This window comes from Homo sapiens, chromosome 16 (genome assembly GCF_000001405.40).
Source record: "Homo sapiens chromosome 16, GRCh38.p14 Primary Assembly".
Classification (NCBI taxonomy): domain Eukaryota; kingdom Metazoa; phylum Chordata; class Mammalia; order Primates; family Hominidae; genus Homo; species Homo sapiens.
Genome location: NC_000016.10, coordinates 56,355,579 through 56,380,682, shown reverse-complemented (window position 1 = coordinate 56,380,682; position 25,104 = coordinate 56,355,579). Strand labels below are relative to the sequence as shown.

At 44.9% G+C, this 25,104-nt stretch overlaps 2 protein-coding genes across 6 annotated transcripts in view, besides 4 other annotated features; one reads left to right on the top strand and one right to left on the bottom strand.

The window, feature by feature from the left end:
* The window catches only part of AMFR (autocrine motility factor receptor), a 64,094-nt gene extending 44,863 nt beyond the window's left edge, over positions 1-19,231 (top strand). For all 4 annotated transcript variants that reach the window (NM_001144.6, NM_001323512.2, NM_001323511.2 and 1 more), the window contains 4 exons: positions 11,356-11,490; positions 13,156-13,239; positions 16,578-16,762; positions 17,627-19,231. In NM_001144.6, coding sequence (NP_001135.3) covers positions 11,356-11,490; positions 13,156-13,239; positions 16,578-16,762; positions 17,627-17,774 — 552 coding nt within the window. In that variant the 3' untranslated portion in view covers positions 17,775-19,231. The remainder of the gene's footprint in view (positions 1-11,355; positions 11,491-13,155; positions 13,240-16,577; positions 16,763-17,626) is intronic.
* Positions 17,648-18,148: an enhancer, noted in NCBI's record as "H3K4me1 hESC enhancer chr16:56396447-56396947 (GRCh37/hg19 assembly coordinates)". NCBI's record gives its function as "activates a minimal SCP1, AML or CMV promoter by ChIP-STARR-seq in naive H9 embryonic stem cells {active_cell/tissue: H9 hESC(naive)}" and the evidence as "EXISTENCE:reporter gene assay evidence [ECO:0000049][PMID:30033119]".
* Positions 18,171-18,344: a silencer, noted in NCBI's record as "fragment chr16:56396251-56396424 (GRCh37/hg19 assembly coordinates)". NCBI's record gives its function as "represses an EF-1alpha promoter that drives an FKBP-Casp9 reporter gene in an ReSE screen in HepG2 liver carcinoma cells {active_cell/tissue: HepG2}" and the evidence as "EXISTENCE:reporter gene assay evidence [ECO:0000049][PMID:32094911]".
* GNAO1 (G protein subunit alpha o1) overlaps positions 23,239-25,104 on the bottom strand; it is a 165,956-nt gene continuing 164,090 nt past the window's right edge. For both annotated transcript variants that reach the window (NM_020988.3, XM_011523003.4), the window contains exon 9: positions 23,239-24,580. The gene's annotated coding sequence lies outside the window, so the exon portion shown is untranslated. The remainder of the gene's footprint in view (positions 24,581-25,104) is intronic.
* Positions 23,434-23,573: an enhancer, noted in NCBI's record as "active region_10848". NCBI's record gives its function as "activates an Ori minimal core promoter by ATAC-STARR-seq in GM12878 lymphoblastoid cells {active_cell/tissue: GM12878}" and the evidence as "EXISTENCE:reporter gene assay evidence [ECO:0000049][PMID:35858748]".
* Positions 24,608-24,767: a silencer, noted in NCBI's record as "fragment chr16:56389828-56389987 (GRCh37/hg19 assembly coordinates)". NCBI's record gives its function as "represses an EF-1alpha promoter that drives an FKBP-Casp9 reporter gene in an ReSE screen in K562 erythroleukemia cells {active_cell/tissue: K562}" and the evidence as "EXISTENCE:reporter gene assay evidence [ECO:0000049][PMID:32094911]".

Genomic DNA, 25,104 nt, shown 5'->3' with positions numbered 1-25,104 from the left:
TGGGGAACTTTGAACTTGAGACATATGATTTAGAGTATCTGGTAGAAGAAAATTCTAAGCAGCAAAGCATTCAGGAGGTGACTTGGATGCTGTTAAAGGCATTCAGTTTTAAAAGGGAAACAGCATAAAAGTTTGGAAAATTTGCAGCTTGACAATGCGATAGAAAAGAAAATCCCATTTTCTGAGGAGAAATTCAAGCTGGCCGCAGAAATTTGCATAAGTAACCAGGAACTGAATGTTAATCCCCAAGACAATGGGGAAAATATCTCCAGGGCATGTCAGAGGTCTTCACAGCAGCCCCCTCTCATCACAGGCCCAGAGGCCTAGGAGGAAAACATGGTTTCGTGGGTCATGCTCAGGGTCCCTGTGCTGTGTGCAGCCTAGGTACTTGGTGCCCTGTGTTTCAGCTGCTCCAGCCATGGCTGAAAGGGGCCATTGGGCTTCAGAGGGTGGAAGCCCCAAGTCTTGGCAGCCTTCAGGTGGTGTTGAGCCTGCGAGTGCACAGAAGTCAAGAATTGGGGTTTGGGAACCTCCGCCTAGATTTCAGAAGATGTATGGAAACACCTGGATGCCCAGGCAGAAGTTTGGCACAGGGGCAGGGCCTTCATGGAGAACCTCTGCTACGGCAGTGCGGAAGGCAAATGTGGGATCAGAGCCCCTACGCAGAATGCCTGCTAGGGCACCGCCTAATGGAGCTATGAGAAGAGGGCCACTGTCCTCCAGACCCCAGAATGGTAGATCTGCTGACAGCTTGCACTGTGTGCCTGGAAAAGCCACAGACACTCAACGCCAGTCTGTGAAAGCAGCCGGGAGGGAGGCTGTACCCTGCACAGCCACAGGGGTGGAGCTGCCCAAGACCACGGAAACCCGTCTCTTGCATCAGCGTGACCCAGATGCGAGACATGGATTCAGCGGAGATCATTTTGGAGCTTTAAGATTTGACTGCCCTACCTTATTTTGGACTTGCATGTGGCCTGTAGCCCCTTTGTTTTGGCCAATTTCTCCCATTTGGAACAGCTGTATTTACCCAATGCCTATACCCCTATTGTATCTAGGAAGTAACTAACTAGCTGTTGATTTTACAGGCTCATAGACGTTAGGGACTTGCCTTATCTCAGATGAGATGTTGTACTTTGGACTTTTGAATTAATGCTGAAATAAGACTTTGGGGGACTGTTGGGAAGGCATGATTGGTTCTGAAACATAAGGACATGAGATTTGGGAGGGGCCGGGGCGGAATGATATGGTTTGACTGTGTCCCCACCCCAATCTCATCTTGAATTCCCACGTTTTGTGGGAGGGACCTGGTAGGAGGTAGTTGAATCATGGGGGCAGGTCTTTCTCCTGCTGTTCTCGTGATAGTGAATAAGTCTCACGAGATATGATGGTTTTAAAAAGAGGAGTTCACCTGCACAAGCTCTCTCTCTTTGCCTGCCACCATCCATGTAAGATGTGACTTGCTCCTCCTTGCCTTCTGCCATGGTCGTGAGGCCTCCTCAGCCATGTGGAACTGTAAGTTGATTAAACCTCTTTCTTTTGTAAATTGCCAGTCTCGGATATATCTTTATCAGCAATGAGAAAACGACAAATACAAATGCTAAACAGCATGATTGCTAGGTCAAATGGTAAAATTGTTTAGTTTTGTTAGAAGCTGCCGAATCATCCTCCAGAGTGGCTGTATCATCTTGCGTTCTCACCAGCAGTGAATGAGAGTTCCTGTTACTCCACATCCTCTCCAGCATTTGGTTTTGTCAGTGTTCCAGATTTTGGCTATTCTAATATATATGTAGTGGTGTCTTGTTTTAATTTGCATTTATCTAATGACATATGATGTGGAGCAACTTGTTATATTCTTATTTGGCATCTGTACATCTATCTTTGGTGAAGTATCTATTAAGATCTTATACCCATTTTTTGATCAGGTTGTTTGTTTTTTTATTGTTAAGCTTTAAAAATTCTTTGTATATTTTGGATAGCAGTCCTTTATCAGATGTGTCTTTTACAAATATTTTCTCCCAATCTGGCTTGTCATCTTATTTTTGACATTGTCTTTTGCAGAACTTTTTACATTTAATGAAGTCCAGCTTATCAATTATTTTCTTTCATGGATTGTGCCTTTGGTGTTGTATCTAAAAAGTCATTGCCATACCCTAGGTTATTTATTTCTCTGTTATCTTCTAGGGGTATTATAGTTTTGCATTTTACATTTAGGCCTGTGATCCATTTTGAGTTAATTATTGTGAAGAGTATAAGGGCTGTGTCTAGATTATTGTTTTGCATGTGGATGGCCAGTTATAGCACCATTTGTTGAAAAGTCTATCTTTTCTCTATTGTATTGCCTTTGCTCTTCTGTCAAAAATCAGCTATGTGGGTTTAGTATAGCTGTCAACCCAGCTATGTGGGTTTAGTTCTGGGCTCTCTATTCTGTTCCATTGATCTATTTGTTCTTTTGCCAATACCGCATTGTCTTGATTACTGTTGCTTTGTAATAAATCTTTTAGACAGGCAGTGTCAAATCCTCCAACTTTGTTCTTCTTCAATATCGTATTGGCTATCCTGAGTCTTTTGTCTCTTCATATAACTTTAGAATCATTTTGTCAATATCCACAAAATAGCTTGCTGGGATATTAATTGGGATTGCATTGAATCTGTACATCAAGTTGGGAAGAATGGACATCTTGACAATATTTAGTCTTTCTGCCCATGAACATGGACTATCTCTTCGTTTATTTCATTCTTCGTTGATATCATTTATCAAGATTTTGTAATTTTCCTCATATAGAACTTATATGTATTTTGTCCTATTTTGTTTTGTGGGCGCTAATATAAAGCATACTGCGCTTTTAATTTCAAATTCCACTTGCTCGTTTCTGTATATAGGAAAGCAATTGACTGTAGTATGTTAACCTTGTATCTCACAACTTTGCTGTAATTGCTTATTAGTTCCAAGAGTGTTTTTATCAGTTCTTCCAGATTTTCTACATAGGTGAGCATGTCATCTGCAGAGTTTTATTTCTTCCTTCCCAATCTGTTTGCTTTTCTTTTCTTGTCTTATTGTATTAGCTTGGACTTCTAGGATGACATTGGAAAGCAGTGGTTAGATGGGACATCTTTGTCTTGTTCCTGATCTTAATGTGAAAGCTTTGAGTTTCTCACCATGAAGCATGATGTTAGTGGTAGGGTTTTTGTAGATATTCTTTATCACAGTGACAAAGTTTCCCTCTATTCCTAGTTTACTGAGAGTTTTTATCATGAATGGGTGTTGGATTTTGTTGAGTGATTTTTCTGCATCTACTGATACGGTCATGTTACTTTTCTTTTTTAGCCTGTTGATAATATAGAAGTATATTAATTGATTTTCAAATGTTGAACCAGCCTTATGTACCTGGAATAAATACCACTTGGATGTAGTTTATAATTATTTTTATGTGTTGTTGGATTTGATTTGCTAATATTTTATTGAGGATTTTTACATATGTGTTTATGAGAGATGTTGGTCTGTAGTTTTCTTGTAATCTCTTTCTCTGGTTTTAGTATTAGGGTAATGCTGACCTTATAGTATGAATTAGGAAGTATCCCTTCTGCTTCTGTCCTCTGAAAGAGATTGTAGAGAATTGATACAATTTCTTCCTTAAATGTTTGGCAGAATTCACTAGCGAACTCATGTGGGCTGATGCCTTCTGCTGTGGAAGATTATTAATTATCTATACAACTTCACATTGTCTATTTGTTCTTGCATAAGTTTTGGCAATTCTAATTATAAGAAGTTATCTGTATAATATTTCTTGTATTAGTAATTTAGGTCCTCTCTCTTTTTTTCGTAGTTAGCTTGGCTTAGAGGCTTATCTATTTTATTGATCATTTCAAAGGACCGGCTTTTGGTTTCATTGATTTTTCTCTGTTGACTCCTTATTTTCAGTTTCATTGATGTCTGCTCTCATTTTGATTATTTGTTTTCTTCTGCTTACTTTGGATTTAATTTATTCTTCTATTTCTAATTTCCTAAGATGGAAACTTGTTTATGTCTTCTTTTCTAATATATACATTCAGTGCTATACATTTTCCTACAAGCACTGCTTTACTACATCTCACAATTTTGATAACTTGTGTTTTCATTTTCATTTAATTCAAAATATTTTAAAATTTATCCTGAGATATCGTCTTTGATCTATGTGTTATTTAGAGGTGTGTTGTTTAATCTTCATGTATTTTGGGATTTTCCGGTTTTCTTACTGTTAATGATTTCTGCTTTAAGAGCAGACATTGTGTAATTTATATTCTTTTAAATTTATTTTAAGATGTGTTTTATGACCTAGCTTGTGGTCTGTCTTGAATGTTCTATGTGAACTTGAGAAGAATGTGTATTCTGCTGTTGTTGGATGAAGTAGTCTACAGATGTTGATTGTATACAGTTGATTGATGGTGTTATTGAGTTCAGCTATGTTCTTAACTGATTTTCTGCCTGCTTGAGTGTTCATTTGTGATAGGTGTTGTAGTCTCCAAATCTATTTTGTTTCTCTTTGTGGTTCTTTTAATTTTTGCCTCAGTTTGTCTGATGCTTTGTTGTTAGATGTATATACTTTATTTATTAAATTTATTTATTTATTTAATTTATTTATGTTTTGGAGACAGAGCCTCACTTGGTTGCGCAAGCTGGAGTGCAGTGGCCCGATCTCGGCTCACTGCAACCTCCACCTCCTGGGTTCAAGCGATTCTCCTCCCTCAGCCTTCTGAGTAGCTGAGATTACAGGCGTGTGCCACCACACCCAACTAATTTTTGTATTTTTAGTAGAGATGGGTTTCATCATGTTAGCCAGGCTGGTCTCAAACTCTTGACCTCAAGTGATCTGCCCTTCTCGACCTCCCAAAGTGCTGGGATTACAGGCATGAGCCACTGTGCCCAGCAGGTGTATATACTTTAAAGATGTCGTGTCTTCTTGGAGAATTGACCCCATGATCATTTTGTAATGCTGTTCTTTATCCCTGATAACTTTGCTTGCTTTGACGTTTGCTCTGTGAAAGTAATATAGCTGCTCCTGGTTTCTTTTGGTTAGTGTTGGTGTGGTATATTTTTCTTAATCCATTTTCTTTTAATCTGTATGTGTCTTTATTTTAAAGTGGGTAAACAACATTCAGTTAGGTCTTGGTTTTCTTTATTTACTCTGACAACCTCTCTTACTTGGCACATTTAGGCCATTGATGTTCAAAGTGATTATTAATGTATTTGGATTAATAACTACCATTTTGTTACTGTTTTCTATTTGTTGCCCTTGTTTTTTGTTCCTATTTTTGTCTTCCACTCTTTCTCTGCCTCTTGTGGTTTTAACTGAACATTTTATAGAATTCCATTTTTCTCCTTTCTTAGCATATCAGTATACTTGTTACTTGTTTTAATGCAGGTGTGTCCAATCTTTTGGCTTCCCTGGGCCACATTGGAAGAAGAATTGTCTTGGACCACACATAAAATACACTAACAATAATGATAGCTAATGAGCTAAAAAAAGAAAATTAAAAATATAACGTTTTAAGAAAGTTTATAAATTTGTATTGGGCTGCATTGAAAGCTGTGTGGGCCATGAGTCGGACAAGCTTGTTTTAATGGTTGCCCTAGAGTTTGTAATATACATTTGCAACTAATTCGTTTATTTTCAGATAACACTGTACCACTGCATGGGAAGTGTGAGTACCTTTTGATAACAAAACAATCCTAATTCCTCGCTCCTGTCCCTTGTATCATTGTTGTCATTCATTTCACCTGTATGTGAGTACATAAGCACACACGTGCACAAGCACACATAACTGAATGCACTGTTGCTGTTATTTTGAATCGAATGTTATGTTAAAGAACAGTTTTTATTTATTTATACCTTCTTTGATGCTCTTCCTTTCTTTATGTAGAGCTGAGCTTTCTGACCTATATCAATTTCTTTAAACGACTTAATATTTTTAACATTTCTTGTAAGGTAGGTCTCACGGCAACATATTCCAACTTTGGTTTGTCGGAGGCAGTCTTTGTTTCTGCATCCTTTTGGAAGGATAATTTTGTGGGGTATAGAATTCTCTGTTGGTGAGTCTTTTCTTAACACTTTAAATATTTCCCTTCGCTGTCTTCTTGCTTGTGGGGCTTCTGAGGAGCTGTCGATGTCATTCCTAACTTTGCTCCTCTAAAAGTAAGGTGTTCTTCCCTCTGGCTTCTTTCAGGATTTTTTTCTTAATCTTTGATTCTCTATAATTTGAATTTGATGAATTTGATGTAGTGTTTTTTTTTTTTTTTTTTTTTTTTACCTTTGTCCTGCTTGGTACTCTCTAAGATTCCTGGATCTGTGGTTTGGTGTCTGACATTAATTTGGACAAGTTCTCAGCCATTATTGTTTCAAATATTTCTTGTGTTCGTTTCTCTTTTCCTTCTGCAGTTCCCATTAAGTGCGTTTACACCTTTTGTAGTTGTCCCACAGTCCTTGAATTTTCTGCTCTGTTATTTTCAGTTTTTATTCTGTTTGCTTTTCCATTTTTTGAGATGGAGTCTCACTCTGTCACCCAGGCTGGAGTACAGTGGCACGATCTCGGCTCACTGCAACCTCCACCTCCTGAGTTCAAGCAGTTCTTCTGCCTCAGCCTCCCCAGTAGCTGGGATTACAAGTGTGCACCACTACACCTGGCTAAATTTTTGTATTTTTAGTAGAGACAGGGTTTCACCATGTTGCCCAGGCTGGTCTTGAACTCCTGACCGCAAGTGATCCACCTGCCTTGACCTCCCGAAGTGCTGGGATTACAGGTGTGAGCCGCTGCACCTGGCCTGCTTTTCCATTTTCAAAGTGTGTATCTCAAGCTCAGAGATTCTTCCCTCAGCTGTGTCCATCTATTAATAAGCCTGTCACGGGAATTCTTCACTCGTGTTGGTGTTTCTGGTCTCTGGCACTTCTCTTTGGTTCTTTCTTAAGATTTCCATCTGCCTGCTCATGCTGCCCGTCTGTTCCTGCATGCTGTCCACTTTATCCATTAGTGCTCTTTGCATATTAATCATAGTTTTAAATTCCCAGTCTGTTAATTTCAGCATCTCTGCTCTGTGTGGCTCTGATGCTTGCTCTGTCTCTTCAAATTGTGTTTTTTGCCTTTTAGTATGCCTTATAATTTTTTCATGATAGTTGAACATGATGTACTGCGTAAAAAGGACTGTGGTGAACAGGCCTGTCGTGATGTAGGTGTCGGGGGAGGGAAAGAAGCATGCTGTAGTCCTGGGATTAGGGCTCCGTCTTTTAGTGAGCCCATGCTCTGGACTGTGAACTTCAATCTACTTCTCAGTTTCCCCTCCTCCTGTGGGACAGGATGGTTCGAGTGGACTGGAGTTCCCTCCGGTCGGTGCAGCTTTGATCAGACCCCAGCAGATGAGGTTCTGGTTGAGTAGTTTCTCCTGAGGGCAGACGTTGTTAAGAACAGTGTGCCCTGGCTGATTTCACTGAGGTGCTTTTTCCCCTCCCTGTGCTGGAAGCAGGAAGGGATGCTTGTTGGATATTTACTGAGAAACCTGATCACTCCTGGCACTGAATCTCACAGTATTACAGGGGAGCCACCTCTGCCTGAGTGCCCTGGAATGTTTACATCTCAGAGTTGTTACACTGAGTCTGTACCAATTTGTCAGTTATAAGTCAGGTTTTCCTCCATGGTTTTCTTTGTTGTTGTTGTTTGTTTGTTTGTTTTAACACCGAGTCTTGCTCTGTCGCCAGGCTGGAGTGCAGTGGCGAGATCTTGGCTCACTGCAACCTCCACCTCCCAGGTTCAAGCAATTGCCCTGCCTTAGCCTCCCGAGTAGGTGGGACTACAGGCATGCACCACCACACCTGGCTAATTTTTTGTATTTTAGTAGAGATGGGGTTTCACCATGTTGGCAAGGATGGTCTCTAACTCCTGACCTCAAGTGATCCACCTGCCTCGGCCTCCCAAAGTGCTGGGATTACAGGCGTGAGCCACTGTGTCAGGCTGTTGTTTTTTAAGGGTAGATTCGAAAGCACATCTGGTATGTGCATAGGAATGATCACTGAGGGGCAGAGATTGATGGGACAGAACAAATAGAAGAGTCAACTGAAAGAACAGGCTAGGGTGGGGAGCTGAGTAGGAGAGAGGGTTGTGAGGAGGGATGGATATAGCTACGGGCGTATTGAAATTTGGTTTAAAAAGAAGGCGTGGCTCACAGCCAAGGGGTGGAAGCAACTGAAATGTCTACTGGAGATGGATGGATAAGGAAGATATGGCAAACCTGTACAGTAGAATAGTACTCAGACTTCAAAAGGAAGGGAATCCTGTTGCATGCTGCAGCATGAATGAACCTGGAGGACATTAATGCTACATGAAATAAGTCTACCACAAAAAGACAAATACCACATAAAACTCTTACAGACAGCAGAATGATGGCTGCAGGAGGGCTGGGGCGAGGCGAGGCGAAATAGGAGTGTTGTCCCTTAGATATAGTTTCAGTTTTGCAAGATGAAAAAGTTCAGATCTGTTGCGCAGCCATGTGCCTGTGGTTAACTCTGCCACACTATGTAGTCATCCCTTGGTATCTGGGGATTGGTTCTAGGACCCCCTCCTTCAGATACCAAAATCCATGAATGCTCAAGTCTCTGATATAAAGTGGGACACTTTAACCCTTAATAGTTTAAGGTAAAAAAAAAAGATGGGGGAAGGATACTGTTTGTATATAACCTGCGCACATCTTCCATATATTTTAAATCATCTCTAGACTACTTCTGATACCTAATACAATGTAAATGCTGAGTAAATGGTTGTTATACACTGTATTGTTTAGGAATAATGACAAGAAAGCCTGTGCATGTTCAGTACAGACACAGCCATCCTCGGCCTAACTATACAGTACATGTCAGCAACAGTGTAACACTTGCTCCAGGGCTGGCTGAATCAGCCTGTGAAACTCACCTATATAGTGGTACTGAGGGCTCACTTACACTGACAAATGGTTAAGATGGCAAATTTTATCTGCTTGGGGCCATAATAAAAGAAGAAGGAAGCATGACTCTCCTGGCTCCTCTTTCTCCTTAAACCTCAGCTGGACTGCCAACAGAGAGTGAGGGTGACATCTTGGTGCATATAGGTGGCCTGGGAGTGTGGTCGCCCAGTGCAGCTACTGCTGGGCTCATGGCAGGCATTACAGGGGTTCTTTGGGGTCAGGCAGCTGTTGAAGCTCTGCAGCTGGACCACCCCACCGACCTCCTTTAAAAAGTCAAGACTTCAAGGGTGTTGGAATCAGAATTCCCTTCTGGGAGTTGTTTAGAATTCTCAGGCAGGCCCTGGCTGTTCTTCCTCCAGTTCTGTGATGGTTTGGAGTGGACTACTTTTGGTACAACTAATTTACTGGAACCATGCATTTTTTATTAAGATCTAATAATTAACTTGCTGGATTTTCTGGTAGAAAAGCTTTGGTCTAGTAAAATGAATCCTAGGCATTTTTTAAATTTGGGAAATGAGGAGGAAGCTGTTTAAGAATAAAGAGAAGTTTTATCTGATTTTAGAGGTTTTTATGGACTCTTGCCCAGTTAGATTTGACCTGACCTGGGAAAATAATGATCAACTCATGTTTACATAAACAAGCTGACTGCAGGAATGAGGAGGCCCTGGGGGCCCTGGGCACTGCTTATGTTGCCAACATTCCACCCCCAGCAAGAGCTCTAAGCAGAGCCCGGTGCCGACCTTTTCCTTCAAGGTCCTGACGTTGACATACTCCCTGCTCCTTCTATAGTCAGAACAACGTGTCCCTAGGAGCTAATATCTCAGGAGGGCTTTATTGTGCCCCTAAGGCAATTATTTTTTTCTTCCTTTTTTTGTTATAGTTATTAGAACTTTTCCAAAAATAAAACCTTGAATGTAAACATTTATAGAGTTAATTTACATATGTGGAAAAAAAATCCAGAGCTGCTTGGATGAAAGTATGGGTGGTGGTGTGGCCAGGCCTATGCCTGCTCTCCCTACACACACACCCACCCTAGAGCCCTACATAAACTCTGAGATGTCTCCAGAGTACAGTTGGAAAACTCAGCTCCAGGGCCGTATAAGGAATTTGCATTCTCTATAATTTTTTTAAATTGAGATATAATTGAAATAGAGTAAAAATTTACCCTTTTTAACATCCAGTTCAACACATAATTGTGTATCATCATAAACAAGATGTACAACAGTTTGATCCGCACCCTCCAGAACTCCACTAGGTCCTTTTGTAGTCATGTCCTTCCCCAACCTTCAGCCCCTGGCAACCACTTCCTTCCCTGATCCTCAGCCCCTGGCAACCACTTATCAAGTTTCTTTCCCCATAATTTTGCCTGTTTCCAGATGCCATATAAATGGAATCATATGCCTGGCTTTTGAGTCAGACCTCTTTCACCTAACATGATGTATTTGAATTTTATCCATGCTATGTGTATCAGAAGTTTGTTCCCTTTAGGAATTATATCTTTAAGGAAAACACATTTTTATACCCAAGATATTTTGAGCTTTAAAATGAATACTTTTAAAACATTTATTTATTTGATGTGTTTACAGGTTACAAGTGCAGGTTTCTTACATGCAGGTATTGCGCAGTGGTGAAGTCTGGGCTTTTAGTGTTACCGTCACCTAAAGAGTGAACATTGTACCCAATAGGTAGTTTTCCAGCCCTCCCCTCCCTACCTTTCCACCTTTCATAGTACAGTGTCTCATTCCACTCTGGATGGCCATGCATACTTGTTGTTTAGCTCCCACTTATAAGAACATACGGTATTTGAGTTTCTGTTCCTGAGTTACTTCACTGAGAATAACGGCCTCCAGTTTCATCAGTGTTGCTGGAGAAGATATGATTTTTTTTAATGGCTGAGTAATATTCCATGGTATATATGTGCCTCATTTTCTTTATCAAATCCTGTGTTGAAGGACGCTTAGGTTGATTCCATATTTTTGCTACTGTGAATAGCGCTGCAATAAACATATGAGCGCAGGTATCTTTCATATATAATGATTTCTTTCCTTTTGGGTATATACTCAGTAGTGGGATTGCTGGTTCGAATGGTAGTTAAAATGAACACTTTTTAAAACTGGAATATTCTAGTCGAGCCTCTCTTGGGATCCAGTTGGTTTTCTGAGCTCTCCTTATGTTGAAATTGATGCTGTCCACAGTTGCCTGTTTGGCTTCCTGGAAAAATACTAAAGGGACTGCAGTGTGAAGGTGACCTACTGAATAAAGGTGGCTCCCTTACCTGTGTTTTCAGGGCATGATGCCACATTCACTGCCCAAAGCCTGCCAGACACTGTGACGTCAGTGAGCAACTGTTAACAGTGAACGTTTCTGTGGACTCTGTATTTGTATTCCTGTAGGCTCATCAGATTCAAGAGATGTTTCCCCAGGTTCCATACCATCTGGTACTGCAGGACCTCCAGCTGACACGCTCAGTTGAAATAACAACAGACAATATTTTAGAAGGACGGATTCAAGTACCTTTTCCTACACAGGTAAAACTGGGCTTTTAAAGCATGATAAATGGGTTCTATCTTCACAAAGATTGAATACTGTAGGTTAACTGTTTTAGTTACTTAACAGCTGAATATCATTTATGACTTAATGAAGGGTTTCTATAAACTCTCTAACTTTCCCAAATTAATAACTGAGAACAGACACACCAAAGATAAGGTGAGTATTTGAGTCACTTTTTGTTCAAATATACACTCTACACCAGCCTGCCCTTGCCAGTCTAGGAAGTCATAGTATTGGTTCCTGTTGGACAAGGATTGGCCACATTTTTTTCTTTAAAAGGCAGATAATAAATATTTAGGCATTTCAGGCCACACGATCTTTGTTGCTTCTCAACTCTGCTGTCATACAGCAGCCATGGATAGTATTTAAGTAAATAAGCAAGACTGTGTTCCAATAAAACTTTATTTACAAAAATAAATAGAGTAGTGAACTTGGCCTTCAGGCTGTAGTTTGCCAACCCCCTGCTCTAGGAGCTGTGCCATCTGTCCCTAATTGGCTTTGCACACTGGTGTGGTGTTCCACTAGCTACCGTTCATCTGTCTGAGGTGGTGGTTTTGATTTTTGAAAAGCTCAGATCTCTACTTTGATGAGCATAAGAAGTATTAATATAGATGAGCCTTCTGGCAGGACCGTGGAATTTGTGTATGACCAGGGAATAATCTACCCCAAATGATTCAATTTTAGTATGTAAAAATATGTGGAAATCTATTAATAAAATTATAAAACCTGAGACTCTTTGAAGAGGAAAGAGCATAGACTCAGTCACATGGGCTGAGATATTAGATGTGGTTCCCAGTTCTCAGCTCTTTGACCTGGCTGTTGGCTGTGGATTTCCCCAGAAGCGGACCCTGGGACAAGGATTTGAATGCACATAGTTTGGGAAGTGGTCCCAGGAATCACAGGTTGTGGGTGGGGATGTGAGCTGGGGAAGGGAGGGTGGCCAGTAATGGGTTTGTTATCAAGCAGGTTTGTTATCACTGTGGGTGACAAGCCCCTTCCCATTTGGGGCCTCTGGGATCCAGTGCAGAACATATCCCTCGCAGGAGATGAGGAACTGGGGTGTTCACAGAGTAATTCCCTCCCTCACTAGTTGAGGGCTGCCTCTGGGGGTGGCTGAACTACCTCATGCAGCCAGAGAAAGTCCTCAGGCAATGAAATACAGACACTGGCCAGCCAGCACTGAGGTGGCGAGACCTTACTGGCTGGTCCCCAGAGTGTCTGCAGCATTGTGTGAGATCTTAAACTGGCTAGAAGGACGGTAACAGCAGCACCTGTTTCATAGGACGTGAAGATAGACGAGACAGCCATGTCCCAGTTTTCCTTGGTGCCATGCCGAAGTTAGGTGTTCAGTCAGTGTTCTCTGCTGTTATCATTGTTTTTGTTGTCTAATTACTGTTATTCAAAAGGAAACTAAAGTGGGACCAGTTGCTGACTCTCAAACTTGGAACTCTAGGTTAGGCCCCAGGCTCCTTTGTCTTGCTTTTAATCTTTATGGCATTTTAATTTCTGTGGTGCAGTAGACTTCCTTAGAGTTACAGGTTGGATTGGGTACCATAGCTCCCTCTGCACACCAGGGTTTCCCTGAGTCTGTGATTTGATTTCTGTGTGACTCTGGACTGTTTTTGGTACTGTTTCTCTTCCAGCGGTCAGATAGCATCAGACCTGCATTGAACAGTCCTGTGGAAAGGCCAAGCAGTGACCAGGAAGAGGGAGAAACTTCTGCTCAGGTAAAACCCGCACTCTAGTGAGAGTGAGTTCATGGAGCTGTGGAGGGGGAATGTGGTCCCGACAGTGGTCTTCCTCAGTCCTGAAGCTTGCAAGGCTTAGGGCACGAGTACAAAAGAAACTGTGCTGTATCCATCCCAATAATGAAGGGTAGCAAATCAGGCTGTGCCCGTGGTGTGGCCTGTGTTTCCACGCAGGGCTGGCAGTCATTCCCTGGGGATTGCCCTCATGTGCTGGAAGAGAAAGGGGTTGTGTTCCCCGGGGCCAGCCCTGCCACCTTGAGCCTGAGTGAGAGCCCGTGGAAGGACAGAAGGAAGCTGGGCTCGGGACCGTGAGGGTGCCTGGACCCATCTAAACTCAGATGGGGATGGCCTAGGGCAAGCTCTCCAGGGAGCCGAGGCCATTGAGATGCCCTCCCCCACACCTCACTTGTCAAACTCAGGATTTCCAGATACATCCATGCATTTTGCAAAACTGAGACCGCCTGAGCTGAGTGGGGCTGGGGGGAAAACATGGCTTTCTTGAGAACCAGATCTGTTTGTTGACCCACTTTGGGTGCCTTGAGGTGGCCACCCTAACTCCAAGCAGCAGGGCCGAGGTGCCACCTCCCCCCACCCCCTGCCCGTGCCCTCTGCCCTACACCTGTGGCCCTGGATCCCACTCCTCTTCTGTGGTTCCCATTCGCTTCCTCAGTTACCATATTGTCAGAGCACTTTCTTATGCGACCACAAATAAAAACTGGACAACCCCACCTTGGCCTTTCTGTGTTTGTGCCATGTGGGGCTTTCCTGCACACAGGCTTGGGTCTAGGGTGGTGCTGCCTTCCCTTACTGGGGTGCACAAGGTCTCCTCTAGAAGCACTGGTAAATGACACAAGCTTTCACCTCTTGTGTTTTTCTCTACAAAGAGGAAACAGTAAACACTACTAGGCCTTCTTCAAATCTGTTGCTGGGTTAAGATTTTCATATCCACCTATGTAATTGGATTATGCATCATTTGTGAAATGGTGCATGGCTTCTAAGGGGTCCATGTCTACATTTCCAGTTTTTTTTTTTTTTTTTTTTTTTTGAGACGGAGTCTCGCTCTGTCACCCAGGCTGGAGTGCAGTGGTGCGATCTCGGCTCACTGCAAGCTCCGCCTCCCGGGTTCACGCCATTCTCCTGCCTCAGCCTCCCGAGTAGCTGGGACTACAGGCGCCCACCACCACGCCTGGCTAATTTTTTGTATTTTTAGTAGAGGCGGGGTTTCGCTGTGTTAGCCAGGATGGTCTCGATCTCCTGACCTCATGATCCGCCCGCCTCTGCCTCCCAAAGTGCTGGGATTACAGGCGTGAGCCACCGCGCCCGGCCTCCAGTTTTTGAATAGCTGGCGCAGCTGAGATATGGATGCTGTGGGCTTGGGGGCATCTGTGGGTACAGCATATTCAGTCCCTGTCTTGATTTTCCACTGCTGCTTCTAGAGTTAGCATGAAGAGTTCTGGATTTTATATATATATATGTATATATAATGGAGGAAAGTATGTATTTCACAGGGAACCTTGCTGTGCAACATTTTTGGTCATTTGTGAAGAAATACAAAGTCCTTGAATAACAATTAGTTAACAGAAACCTCAGTGTAGCCCAGTAAGCTTGTCAGCTCCACTCTCCCTCTGTTCTAATCTCTGCCCTGCCCCGCTCAGGCTGGTATTAGTCAGGCATGCAGCTGCACAGAGCAGGGGTTGCGGTGGGCGGCTGTTTTCTTTCTAACATCTCGCCTCTTCACTCACCATTTTTTCTAACCTGCTCTAGGGTCAGGCTTAGAGGAGAGGGATAGAATAGGACAGTGAGACTCCAGCGTGTGTGTGCGTGTGTGTGTATGTACCTACATGTTGTGCCAACTACGTGTGTCTGTGTGTGTGTGTGTACATGTTATGCCAACTATCTCCCTGTCCCCATCTGGCCCCAGAAACTCCTCCTTTGACCCTGGGCTGGCTATTGATGACCACTCCCACCTTCATGGGGGTCCTGTTACCTCTCCAAGTGGTCCTTTTGGGCACAGTTGTTTTCAACAACCTTAGGTTGGTTCCCTCCTGCAGGAGCCCTATCCAAGCTCCAGGACACACACAGTGTTGTCTGGAGTCAGTGGAAGGTGAACGTGCTCCCGTCACAGCTCCCCTGGCCCTGTATTTTATTGGCTCCTGCCAGTTTCTTTCTGTAGATTTCTCAAGTGTATGCAGCCACCAGTTCCCCCGTCCTTTGACTCTCGGGGATACGAATGGTTCTCTTGAAGTTCCCTCTCGAGCTTAGCTGAAGGCAGGAAAAAGTGAGGGTAGGTCCAGCAGGAACTCTGAAGTAAAACAGCCTGCCTCTCAGCTGCACCCACCTCCATTCTGTCACAGCCTAGAAGCGGGCAATGGGCTGACCCTGGCCAGCGCAGGTCTGCATCTGGGAGCATGAGCAGCGCAGATGGTCAGGCACCTGCTAGGACCTGGGGGTGCCTGGGCATTGTCGTGGACTTTGGAGCTTCAACCAAAGCCAAGGAACCATATAATCCATCCTGTGTCTTTTCAAAAGATCCTTAGGGCTGGGCACAGTGGCTCATGCCTGTAGTCCCAGCACTTTGGGAGGCTGAGGTGGGTAGATTGCTTGAGTCCAGTAGTTTGAGACCAGCCTGGGCAACAAAGCAAAACCCTGTCTCTACAAAAAATACAAAAATTAGCCAGATGTGGTGGCACGAGCCTGTGGTCACAGCTACTTGGGAGGCTAAGTTGGGAGGATCCCCTGAGCCTGGGGAGGTTGAGGCTGTGGTGAGCAGAGATTGTGCCACTGCACTCCAGCCTGGGTGACAGAGTGAGACCCTGTCTGTAAATAAATAAATAAATAGATGCCTAGCAGTTTTCCTTTTTACCTCTGTTTTCAGAGTCAATTGAGGATATAAAATTTGTGCAGAAGATTGGATAAGACTGGTTTAAATGTTTGAGCAATTAGTAGAAGTGAACAGAAAATTCCCAGGATGTAAACTCACGGTTGTCGTGTTGGTAGCGTATTCTAAGAGTGCAGCTTGAAGGTGCTTACGTTTTTCATGCTGGTAATCATTTACTTACCCTCTGATGCCGAACATTCTGTGTGAGTCAGGTCCTGTTCTTAGTACTACTCAAGCCATAGGCAGCAGGCCTGCCCTCAGGGAAGCTGCTGCTCCATTATCCGTAGCTTGTGGTTCCTAGTTTCTGCCTCCCTGCTTGGCAGCAGCCTTCTCTTTGCGTCCAGAACAGCCGTGTCTGGGGTGCCCTGTAGGTGAGGAACCTGCTTAGGAGGGAGGCCTGTGCTCACAGCTGCCTCCTTGCTTCCTGCCCCGTGTCCAGACCGAGCGTGTGCCACTGGACCTCAGTCCTCGCCTGGAGGAGACGCTGGACTTCGGCGAGGTGGAAGTGGAGCCCAGTGAGGTGGAAGACTTCGAGGCTCGTGGGAGCCGCTTCTCCAAGTCTGCTGATGAGAGACAGCGCATGCTGGTGCAGCGTAAGGACGAACTCCTCCAGCAAGCTCGCAAGTGAGTCGCTTCTCCAGACCACCTGGCATAATCCAGATCAAAAACTAGTGGCTGAAGGCCGTTGTCAGGCCGTCTTCTCTTTTTAAACAGATGCCAACAGTGAAACGGCATTACATGCCACCCCAAAACTCAGATTTCAAGCCTCTCTTGAAAAAACCAGAGCATCTGGTAACACTGGGCCCCACTGGTCTACCTCTGATGCTGGTACTGTCAGTCATCTCCCATGGACCCCTTTGGCCACGCTTGCCGAGAGAGCACTTGTGTGCTAACCTGATCTAAGCCCTTTATATGAATTACTTTAACAGCTCTAAGAGGGAGCACTGTTAACCCATTCAGCTGACATACAGCTGAAGAAATGGAGGCTGGAGAGGTTAGCACTGGCCTGGCCCTGGCGTCTGTCTCCCAGGTCCTCCCTGTTGACCACTCTGCCTTTCAGCTGAGCATTGTACACACACTCAGCGCATCTGTGCGTCACACACCCATGGTTGGTGGCAGCTACAGCAGGTGTGTCCTGTGGATAGAGGGGGTTTTGTTCCAGCTCTTAAGGACAGGGCCAGCACTGTGTTCCTCAAGTGGGTTTGGGCCCTGGCAGACCCTGTGATTGTGGGAGTTCTGTGCTGTGTCTGTGGGTGGAGGGGATGGGCAGGAAGAGACAGCAGGGAACAGCACTGAAGGGTTCCTCCCTGGTGCAGAGAGAATTTGCGCCCATCTGTTGGGGGCTGGATGTCTTGGTCATTGGGTGGTGCTGAGTGACAGCTTCATGAAGGTGCCTGGACATGGGGAGATGTGAAATCAACCTTCTGGCTGTGTTCCACAGCTCCCCATCTCTCCTATGAGAGAGAAAAAGTCTTCTGTTTTTTCTAGACGTTTCTTGAACAAAAGTTCTGAAGATGATGCGGCCTCAGAGAGCTTCCTCCCCTCGGAAGGTGCGTCCTCTGACCCCGTGACCCTGCGTCGAAGGATGCTGGCTGCCGCCGCGGAACGGAGGCTTCAGAAGCAGCAGACCTCCTAGCGCTCCCTTGCCTTCCTCAGCTGCCTCCTGCGCCCTGTGCCCGACTGACTGGAGGAGGCCTGTCCCAATTCTGCCCGCTCCATGGAAAAGCGGGCTTGACTGCATTGCCGCTGTATAAAGCATGTGGTCTTATAGTGTTTGGACAGCTGATAAATTTAATCCTTCTTTGTAATACTTTCTATGTGACATTTCTCTTCCCCTTAGAAACACTGCAAATTTTAACTGTAGGTATGATCTCTTCTGGTGTTGACTGGACTGCTTGGGGTGGGGGACGATCAGGAGGAAGTGAGCAGTCGCCTGCCTGCAGCAGGCAGCTTCTACTCCTGCCTCATGCGTACGTCCCACAAATGCAGGTGTCCTGAGCACCACACCCAGTGGGAAGAGTGTGGGGGAGGCGCACAGTGTGAGCCCGCCCCCACGTCGTGGGGTAACATCTGTTATCAAACTGCTGTCGTTGTTGTGGAAGCATGTAGACTGTGCCAGAGGCCAGACCCACGGGCTCATGCACCCCTGAGCCAGCAGGGCATCTTGGAAAAGGAACTCTTGGTTCGATACCTGGAGCAGAGGAGGGGAAAGTCCAGGGCTATAGGGTGTGATGAAGTCACCCCTTTCTGTCCCACTACATCTGGGACTGACTTTCCGAGCCTCCAGTCCAAAGCCGGCTTGATTTCCGTGAACTCTGGTGCTCCTGCATCTCATGAGTGTGCCCCATGGGTCCCCTCCCCTCTCAGCATTTCCTTGTCCCGTCTGGACCTGGGGAGTGGTTAGGCAGCAAGCTTTGGTTTATGGTTTTCATTCATTGGTGAAGTAAATTAGGCAGTGCTAAAGCCTGTGGGTTTGGTCCTTGAACAAGATGTGGGCCTTGCAAGATGGGAGAGTAAACCTTGAAGGGCTTTATTAAAGAAATAAAAAAGAACTTTTGTATCTTTTATCCTGGGAGCACTGCGTTTTCCTAGCTGTGTTATTCCTGGTTTAATTCAGCAGAGAAGGTAAGGTGTGAACCTACCTGCCTTGGAGAGGGCCCAGGTCCCAAATCTCTTCAAATTCTTCACATGTTTAACTTTAAGGATTTGAACCATGAAGTCATAGGTTACAGACCTCAGTTTTATGCCCCATTGGATTACTTTTTTTTTTTTTTTTTTTTTTTTTTTTTTTACTCTTTGAAAGCTTTGTTTTGTGGTAGTCCTTTTGGGAAGAATCCAGTATTATCCACAATTATTGGCAAAGTTTAAATGTATTTTACATAACGGAAAGTTTTTAGAATGTTGAAAAGTAATTGAAAAAGGTGATAGGTAAATTTTTAGGCAAAGATAATTTATTTCAATAAATCTTTCAAAAGCCTTACCTTGAAATGCTGTTAGTAAATTTCTGTGATTTTTTTTTTTAATTTGTTTTGCTGAGAGCATAGCTATTTGTTTTTATTGTAAAACAATAATAATAATAAAAAGCAAACTCTATTGGTGTGTTGTGTGTGGCTGGAAGCTAAGGCATGTTTTTGTGTGGCTGGAAGCTAAGGCATCTTTTTCCAGAGGTGCCAACGTTAAACCCCATTTTGATTTGGATTTTGTGTATACTATTTTGGTTGGAGGGTTTTTTCCCATGTTTTTGAATTGGGAACTTTTGTTTTTCCTAGTAGTGTATTTGGGGAAGGCAGAACTACATTTTTCTTCCCCTTGTATTTATATCTTTTTTTTTTTCAGGTAAGTGTGTAGCGAAAGATTATTTTACTGTCCTCGAATTACATTATACTTCACACGTTGCACCCATTGTAGGTGCCACTAATTCCACATGTTCACAGGTTTCTGATGTGTGAAAAGAGAAAATTACTTGGATCAATTTTAGAGGGTCTTGACACATTACAAAACAGCCATATCACAGTGTTTAGAGCAGGAGCTTATTAAGTAGCTTAAAATGATGCAAGAAGTGAAGTTCTCAGTCCGCCCTTCCATTTTACACCTGGATACTTGAGGATTTCACCACTTCCTGGGGGCGTCCGGGACAGGTGCTGAGGGCAGTGGCAGTTATGCTGGGGGCTTCCCCTCCCAGGACCACTTTTGCTGCCCTGCCAGCTGCAGGGTCAGGCAGATGGTCCTCACGCCCAGCCCCTGGAGAAGCAGCACTCAGGGCTGTGGGTCCAGGTTTGTAAGCGCAGCAGAAGGAGCATCCGGGTGCTCTGGTGAATGGTGGTTGGGCTGCCCCTGGCCTCTGTGGGCTCTTTTGGAATGAGGCTGTGTTGCCCTCTCCATTTTCTTAGTGGCCCTGTTTTGACTTCCTAGGTTCTCCTCAGTTTTTGTTTTGTTTTGAATTTTGAGGCTCTTCTGTACCATAGAGGATGGTGGGCCATGTGGCTGTTTCACTTGTATTGATGTGAATCCAGGTGCCCAGGCGGCCTCTTGGGCCTGATTTTCCACTTGGGCTAAGTAGACAATGTGTCCTTTTATCTGTAGCCAGCCAACTTGATCCTGTCTGTGGGGACTTTCAGTCCTGCTGGAGCTGGACACACATGGAAAAGGAAGCCATGGCCTTGCCGACAAGCCCTGGCAAGGAGCAGCGGCCGCCTGCCTGCCCTCGAAGGCCCTCCGTCATTTGGAGCCTCCATCTTGCAGGGCTGCTGCTCATCTGTTAGGTTAGACATGGTTCCAACCTTGGCTGCATGTTAGAATCACTTGTGGAGCTTTTAGATAGAGTCATTTACTGTAAACAACTGCAGTGAGCCGCCTCTGGCAGCCATCACACACGCAAGGTCAGGCTCTCACAGCGCAGGACAGAGCAGTCTCTGGGACCAAGGAGATCCAGTCATGAAATACAAAAGAGGGCAGAGTTGACTTGAGAGGTATCTGTCCACTTGCAACTCTTGGGGTTCCAGTTCTGTGGGGGAAACACAGATTTCTCCCCAAGAGAGGAGTCTGTGGTGCCTTTTCTATTTTCCTTAAGAGCTCTGAGTCATTAGAGGTCCCCTCTAGGTCTTTTCATGTGGTAGCCAAGATGGCAGAGAAGAAAGAGGGAAGAGAGGAAGTAAGCGGGAGGATGATTTTTAGGAACTGAAGTGCACAGAGGAAACAAGCACATCATTTTTTTTTAGAGAGGGGGTTCCAGTCAACTAGAAAAAAAATTACCAAAAACAGGATCCCAAAAGAGAAAAAGCAGGAAGGCCTTACCAAGATAAACATATATCCTGAATATCAGTTTTTAATTAAGCTGACTTCTAACCGTAGAGCTCTTAAAATCCTTTGAAATCTCATATTACCCAATTTTAGCTGGGACAAACAGCTGATATTTCTGGCTTTTGAGTCTTTTTAACCAAAGATACTCTCCTAAGTGGCAAAGCCTTATCCCCAAACATCAAAAGTCACATGAATATCAAACCAAAGGAACTAATTCTCTGGGAATGGAATTGGCTGTAGCAGTGAAAGGACCACTTTTTTTTTTTTTTTTTTTTAAATCTTGCCTGGGATCCGAAGCAGGCGGATTGAGCGTTTAAAGGATTTTAACTGGTTTCAGATCTGATCTGATCTCAGCCGGAATATTGCTCGGATCATTCTCTGGATGTTAGCATTCCAACATCAGTGTCGGTTATTAGTCCTGGTTTAGAAAAAAAAAAAGGGTTGGATCTGCATTTTTATAATCTCAGTAGTTTTGTGTGCATTTCCCCCCTTTAGAGAATTACTCTTTTAATTACCTGTCTTATTGCCTTAAGCAACTGCCAGCTAGGCAACAAAAGTGCATTTTGGAGCCCCTCTTCATTGGGTGGTCTAACTGGGCAAAGAATGGTTCAGGAATCTGGCAGCCCCCAGAGCCAGAAGAGGTTCACAGCGACTCTGAGACTTTCTCAGTAGAGTTTCAGGGCAGAGATCAAAGACCTGGAGGGATTCCACAGGTGGTGATGATGGATACCTTTTGTTTACCTCCTGAATAGAGGCAATTTTCTCAGAATTTCTTTTAGAAGCTATTTAGGTGCCATTGGAAGTAAATCTCCTATTTGATTTGGTTCTAATTAGAACTAGCTTTTTACAATTGTGTGCACAGATAAACTAGGGGGGAAAAAGGATCTTTAAAAATATATATATCAGATAGGTTCTGCCCCCACTCTCCTTGTTCCGATTTAATTGGCCTTTTTGCTGCATCCTTTCCAAAAAATGCTATGACCTCCCTTCTAAGAAAAATGAGGCAAATAAACTTCTGTTGGTTTTATTGCAAAACTCATTTGAAAGTTGGGAAGAACCCTATTAGAATATGGCTTGGTTTTCAGAAAAATTCAAATGTGCCATATATAGAAAATGTCATGGTTTCCTTCAGCCTTCCATGTGGATCTTGGTTTGTTACAAAGTCAAACTGTGGCCTGGATTGCAAACCTTCCCCTCAATGGAGAGGGTAGGTCATGTGCCCCTCTCTGCAGATAAGTTGGGGTTTGGGGAACCAGGGGGAAAGCAGAAGAGGTTTAAGGGGTGCCTGTATTGGTTGGGTATTTATCACAGTGCCTCTTGTTCTTCCATAGTCTCTGAAACAATATCCCCTGCCTCCACCCCCTTGATTCAAAAGACTGCTGGAACTTGCCCGAGAGAGGCCCTTCTGAGCCTCTAATTCCCATTTGTTGAGATGTGGAGAGGATTCCAGGTAACTGACCTCTTGGCAGCTCCCCCATCTCACTGAAGACAGCATGATACATGATGCTCTTGGCCGCTTGTACAGGAAGTGGCGTGTGGACATGATGCAAGTTCAGTGGGCTGCCGTTGCCTCCAGGTCCCCGTTGCAACCCATTTGCTAATTATTACAGCAAAAGCGGGCCAATGTAGGGGACGGGTGAGACCTACAGTCTAGGGGAGGAACAGGGATCAGACTCCGTGTGCCCCACTGCACTGCTGGGTTACCTCCTGCGTGTTCGGCCTGCAGGGGGCTTCCTGGCATCCAGGTGCAGTCAGGGAGCAAATCGAAGGCAGCCTTCCTGGTCAGGCTGGGCCCAAGCTCGTCCTGGGCATGTGAGTGGCTGGGAACTCTTGGGTGCAGATGGGCTCAGGCAATTGGCCTCATTCTTGGGACCACCCATCCTCCCACTGTGGGGGAACCGCCGGCTACAGAAGAAAGAGGATCCTGCATGATAGGAGAGGGGGCTTGCCTGCCCTTCTTGCATTTCTTCCTTCCTAATCCCCACTTCCACCTCATTTCTCAAAAGCAAACAAAACCTACTGAGGGTGAGGAGGCACCGGGAGCCGGGAGGAGAGGGCATCGCAGGAGAAAGTGGCGGCTCCCCTGCCCTCATTCCCAGGCAGCACTGGGCAGTGGTCGCGTCAACTGTGCTCTGAGCTGGGGCTCCAGTGACGGCACTGAGGGGATGGGAAGGTCCTGTGGGGGACTCCTAACCACCGGCCTACCAGCGTGTGTGGCCGAGTCCCTCCTTCCCTCTCCTGCCAGAATGAAGCCCACCCCAAATAACCATCGTTGGAAGGCACAGGGTGAGACTCAGGAGTACAGACAAACATTCTCTTTTATTGAGCTACACAGGAATTTTCCATTAGTCAGAGAAGTAGACTGGCAGTGTGTAAGATATCACAGAAACCTCACCGATTGGGAATAGAAAGGCTTACAAAGACCCGTGGGCTTTTTTTTCTTTTTTCCTTTTTTTTTTAAGTTTTTTTTTTTAATTTTTTGTGTGTTTTGTCTTTTTGCCTCCTCTTTATTTGAAATGGCTGTGACTGGTCTTCTTCAGCAAAGATTAAGTCTTAAAAGTGAAACCGTGAAGAGGTTTAGGGTTTGGGTATTAGTCAAAGTAGAAATGACATAGGATTGGTCATGAAAACGGCGGCTTTAATGTAAACACTACATTCCATCTTTTTAAATTTTTTTGTTTTTTTTTTCCATCTTGTGGTATTTAAAAATTTTTTTTTGTTCTTTTTGTCTGCAGCACAAACATCCCCACATGAGAGAGCGGACACAGGGCACCGAAACAAAGGCAGGGGTGGGGAGGGGCGCACACACGAAGGGAGGTGTCAGCCGGGACCGGAAATCCAACACGGCAAAGGAAAAAAAACACAACCCGTTTCCCAAAGACTAGGAAAACTGATCTGTGGGGTGGGGGGCTGGTAATACATAGTACTCGGCGGGACAAAAGTAAAAACAAAAACTGAAAAAAAAAAAAAAGGAACCAAAAAACCCCTACAAAGGCTATCCTTAGAAAGGGGGTCGGTGGGCAGATTGTTTTCTATGGGGCTGGATTTCCTTATACGATGGGTGTTCTTTTTGGCAGCTACTGGCCAGTGAGAGCTGTGCTTTTTCTATACGAACCTGGAGTGAGCGTGTGGCGGGAGTGGCTTAGGGCCGCCAGGTGGCGTCTGTGGTGTCTGGGCGGCCGGCAGGCAGCAGGGTTTGCAGTGGCCTGTGGCCTTCTGGAAAGCCCGGCCTGAGCACACTCCTCGGACCAGTGCACCGCACCGGAGCCCCAGGCGGCAGATGGGCCCTGCCCCCCAGCAGGAGCTCCAGGGGCTGCGCCGCGAGGTGGGACGGGGGCAGGCGTCGGTGCAGATGGGTATGTTTGTTTTGCAAGAAAAAGAAATATGGATGAAATGGTGAGTTTTCCTTTTTTTAAGCTACAAAGCACATGAGAAATGTTCTGTTTTTCCTTTCAAATTCTAAATGTGAAGACTCAACTAAAACCGGATTCTACAGCATTCTACAGAAATACACAGCCGTCAGTCACTCTGGGGTCGTAGGTTAGACAGGGGCTTGATACAGAAAGGCTGTGTGTCTTACAAAGGCCAAAAGGTCATGCTACCAGGAGATCAACGTCAACAGCAAAGAGTCCGTGAAGCAGTCTGTAGAGAGAGAGATAAGGGGTCCAGTCTGACCATTTTCTTTGATTTTAAAAACCAACCAACCAACCAAAAAACCCTAGAACATTTTGACTACTGCTGGGGTTGGGCGAGATGGGGCAGCAGCACGAGGGGTCAGGAACCCCATTGAAGCCCATCCCGGGCACCTGGGGAAGCCTGGCCCCCCCCTGAGACCCTGACTCGGGTCAGGCCCACAAGTCCGGCCCTCCCCGCCACGCCTGTTCCCCTCGCTCCCCACCTTCCCACATGCCCTCTTGGAGCGGGGCTGGTTTCAACTCTGCAGGTGAACTTGAGTCCCCTCCTGTCAGCTGCTTTTAGAAAGCAGACCAAGTCTCCCTGTTCTCTGATTCTTGCCATCTTAACATGAATAAAGAAAACTCAGGAGACAGTGGATTGGTCGGAGCAATGATTCTTCTAAATTCCTGAAATTAACAACCACCACCACCCGAAAGAGAAGCATCCTTAAATTGTTCTGTTTTTGGGAGTGCAGAGTGAGGAGAGGCTTA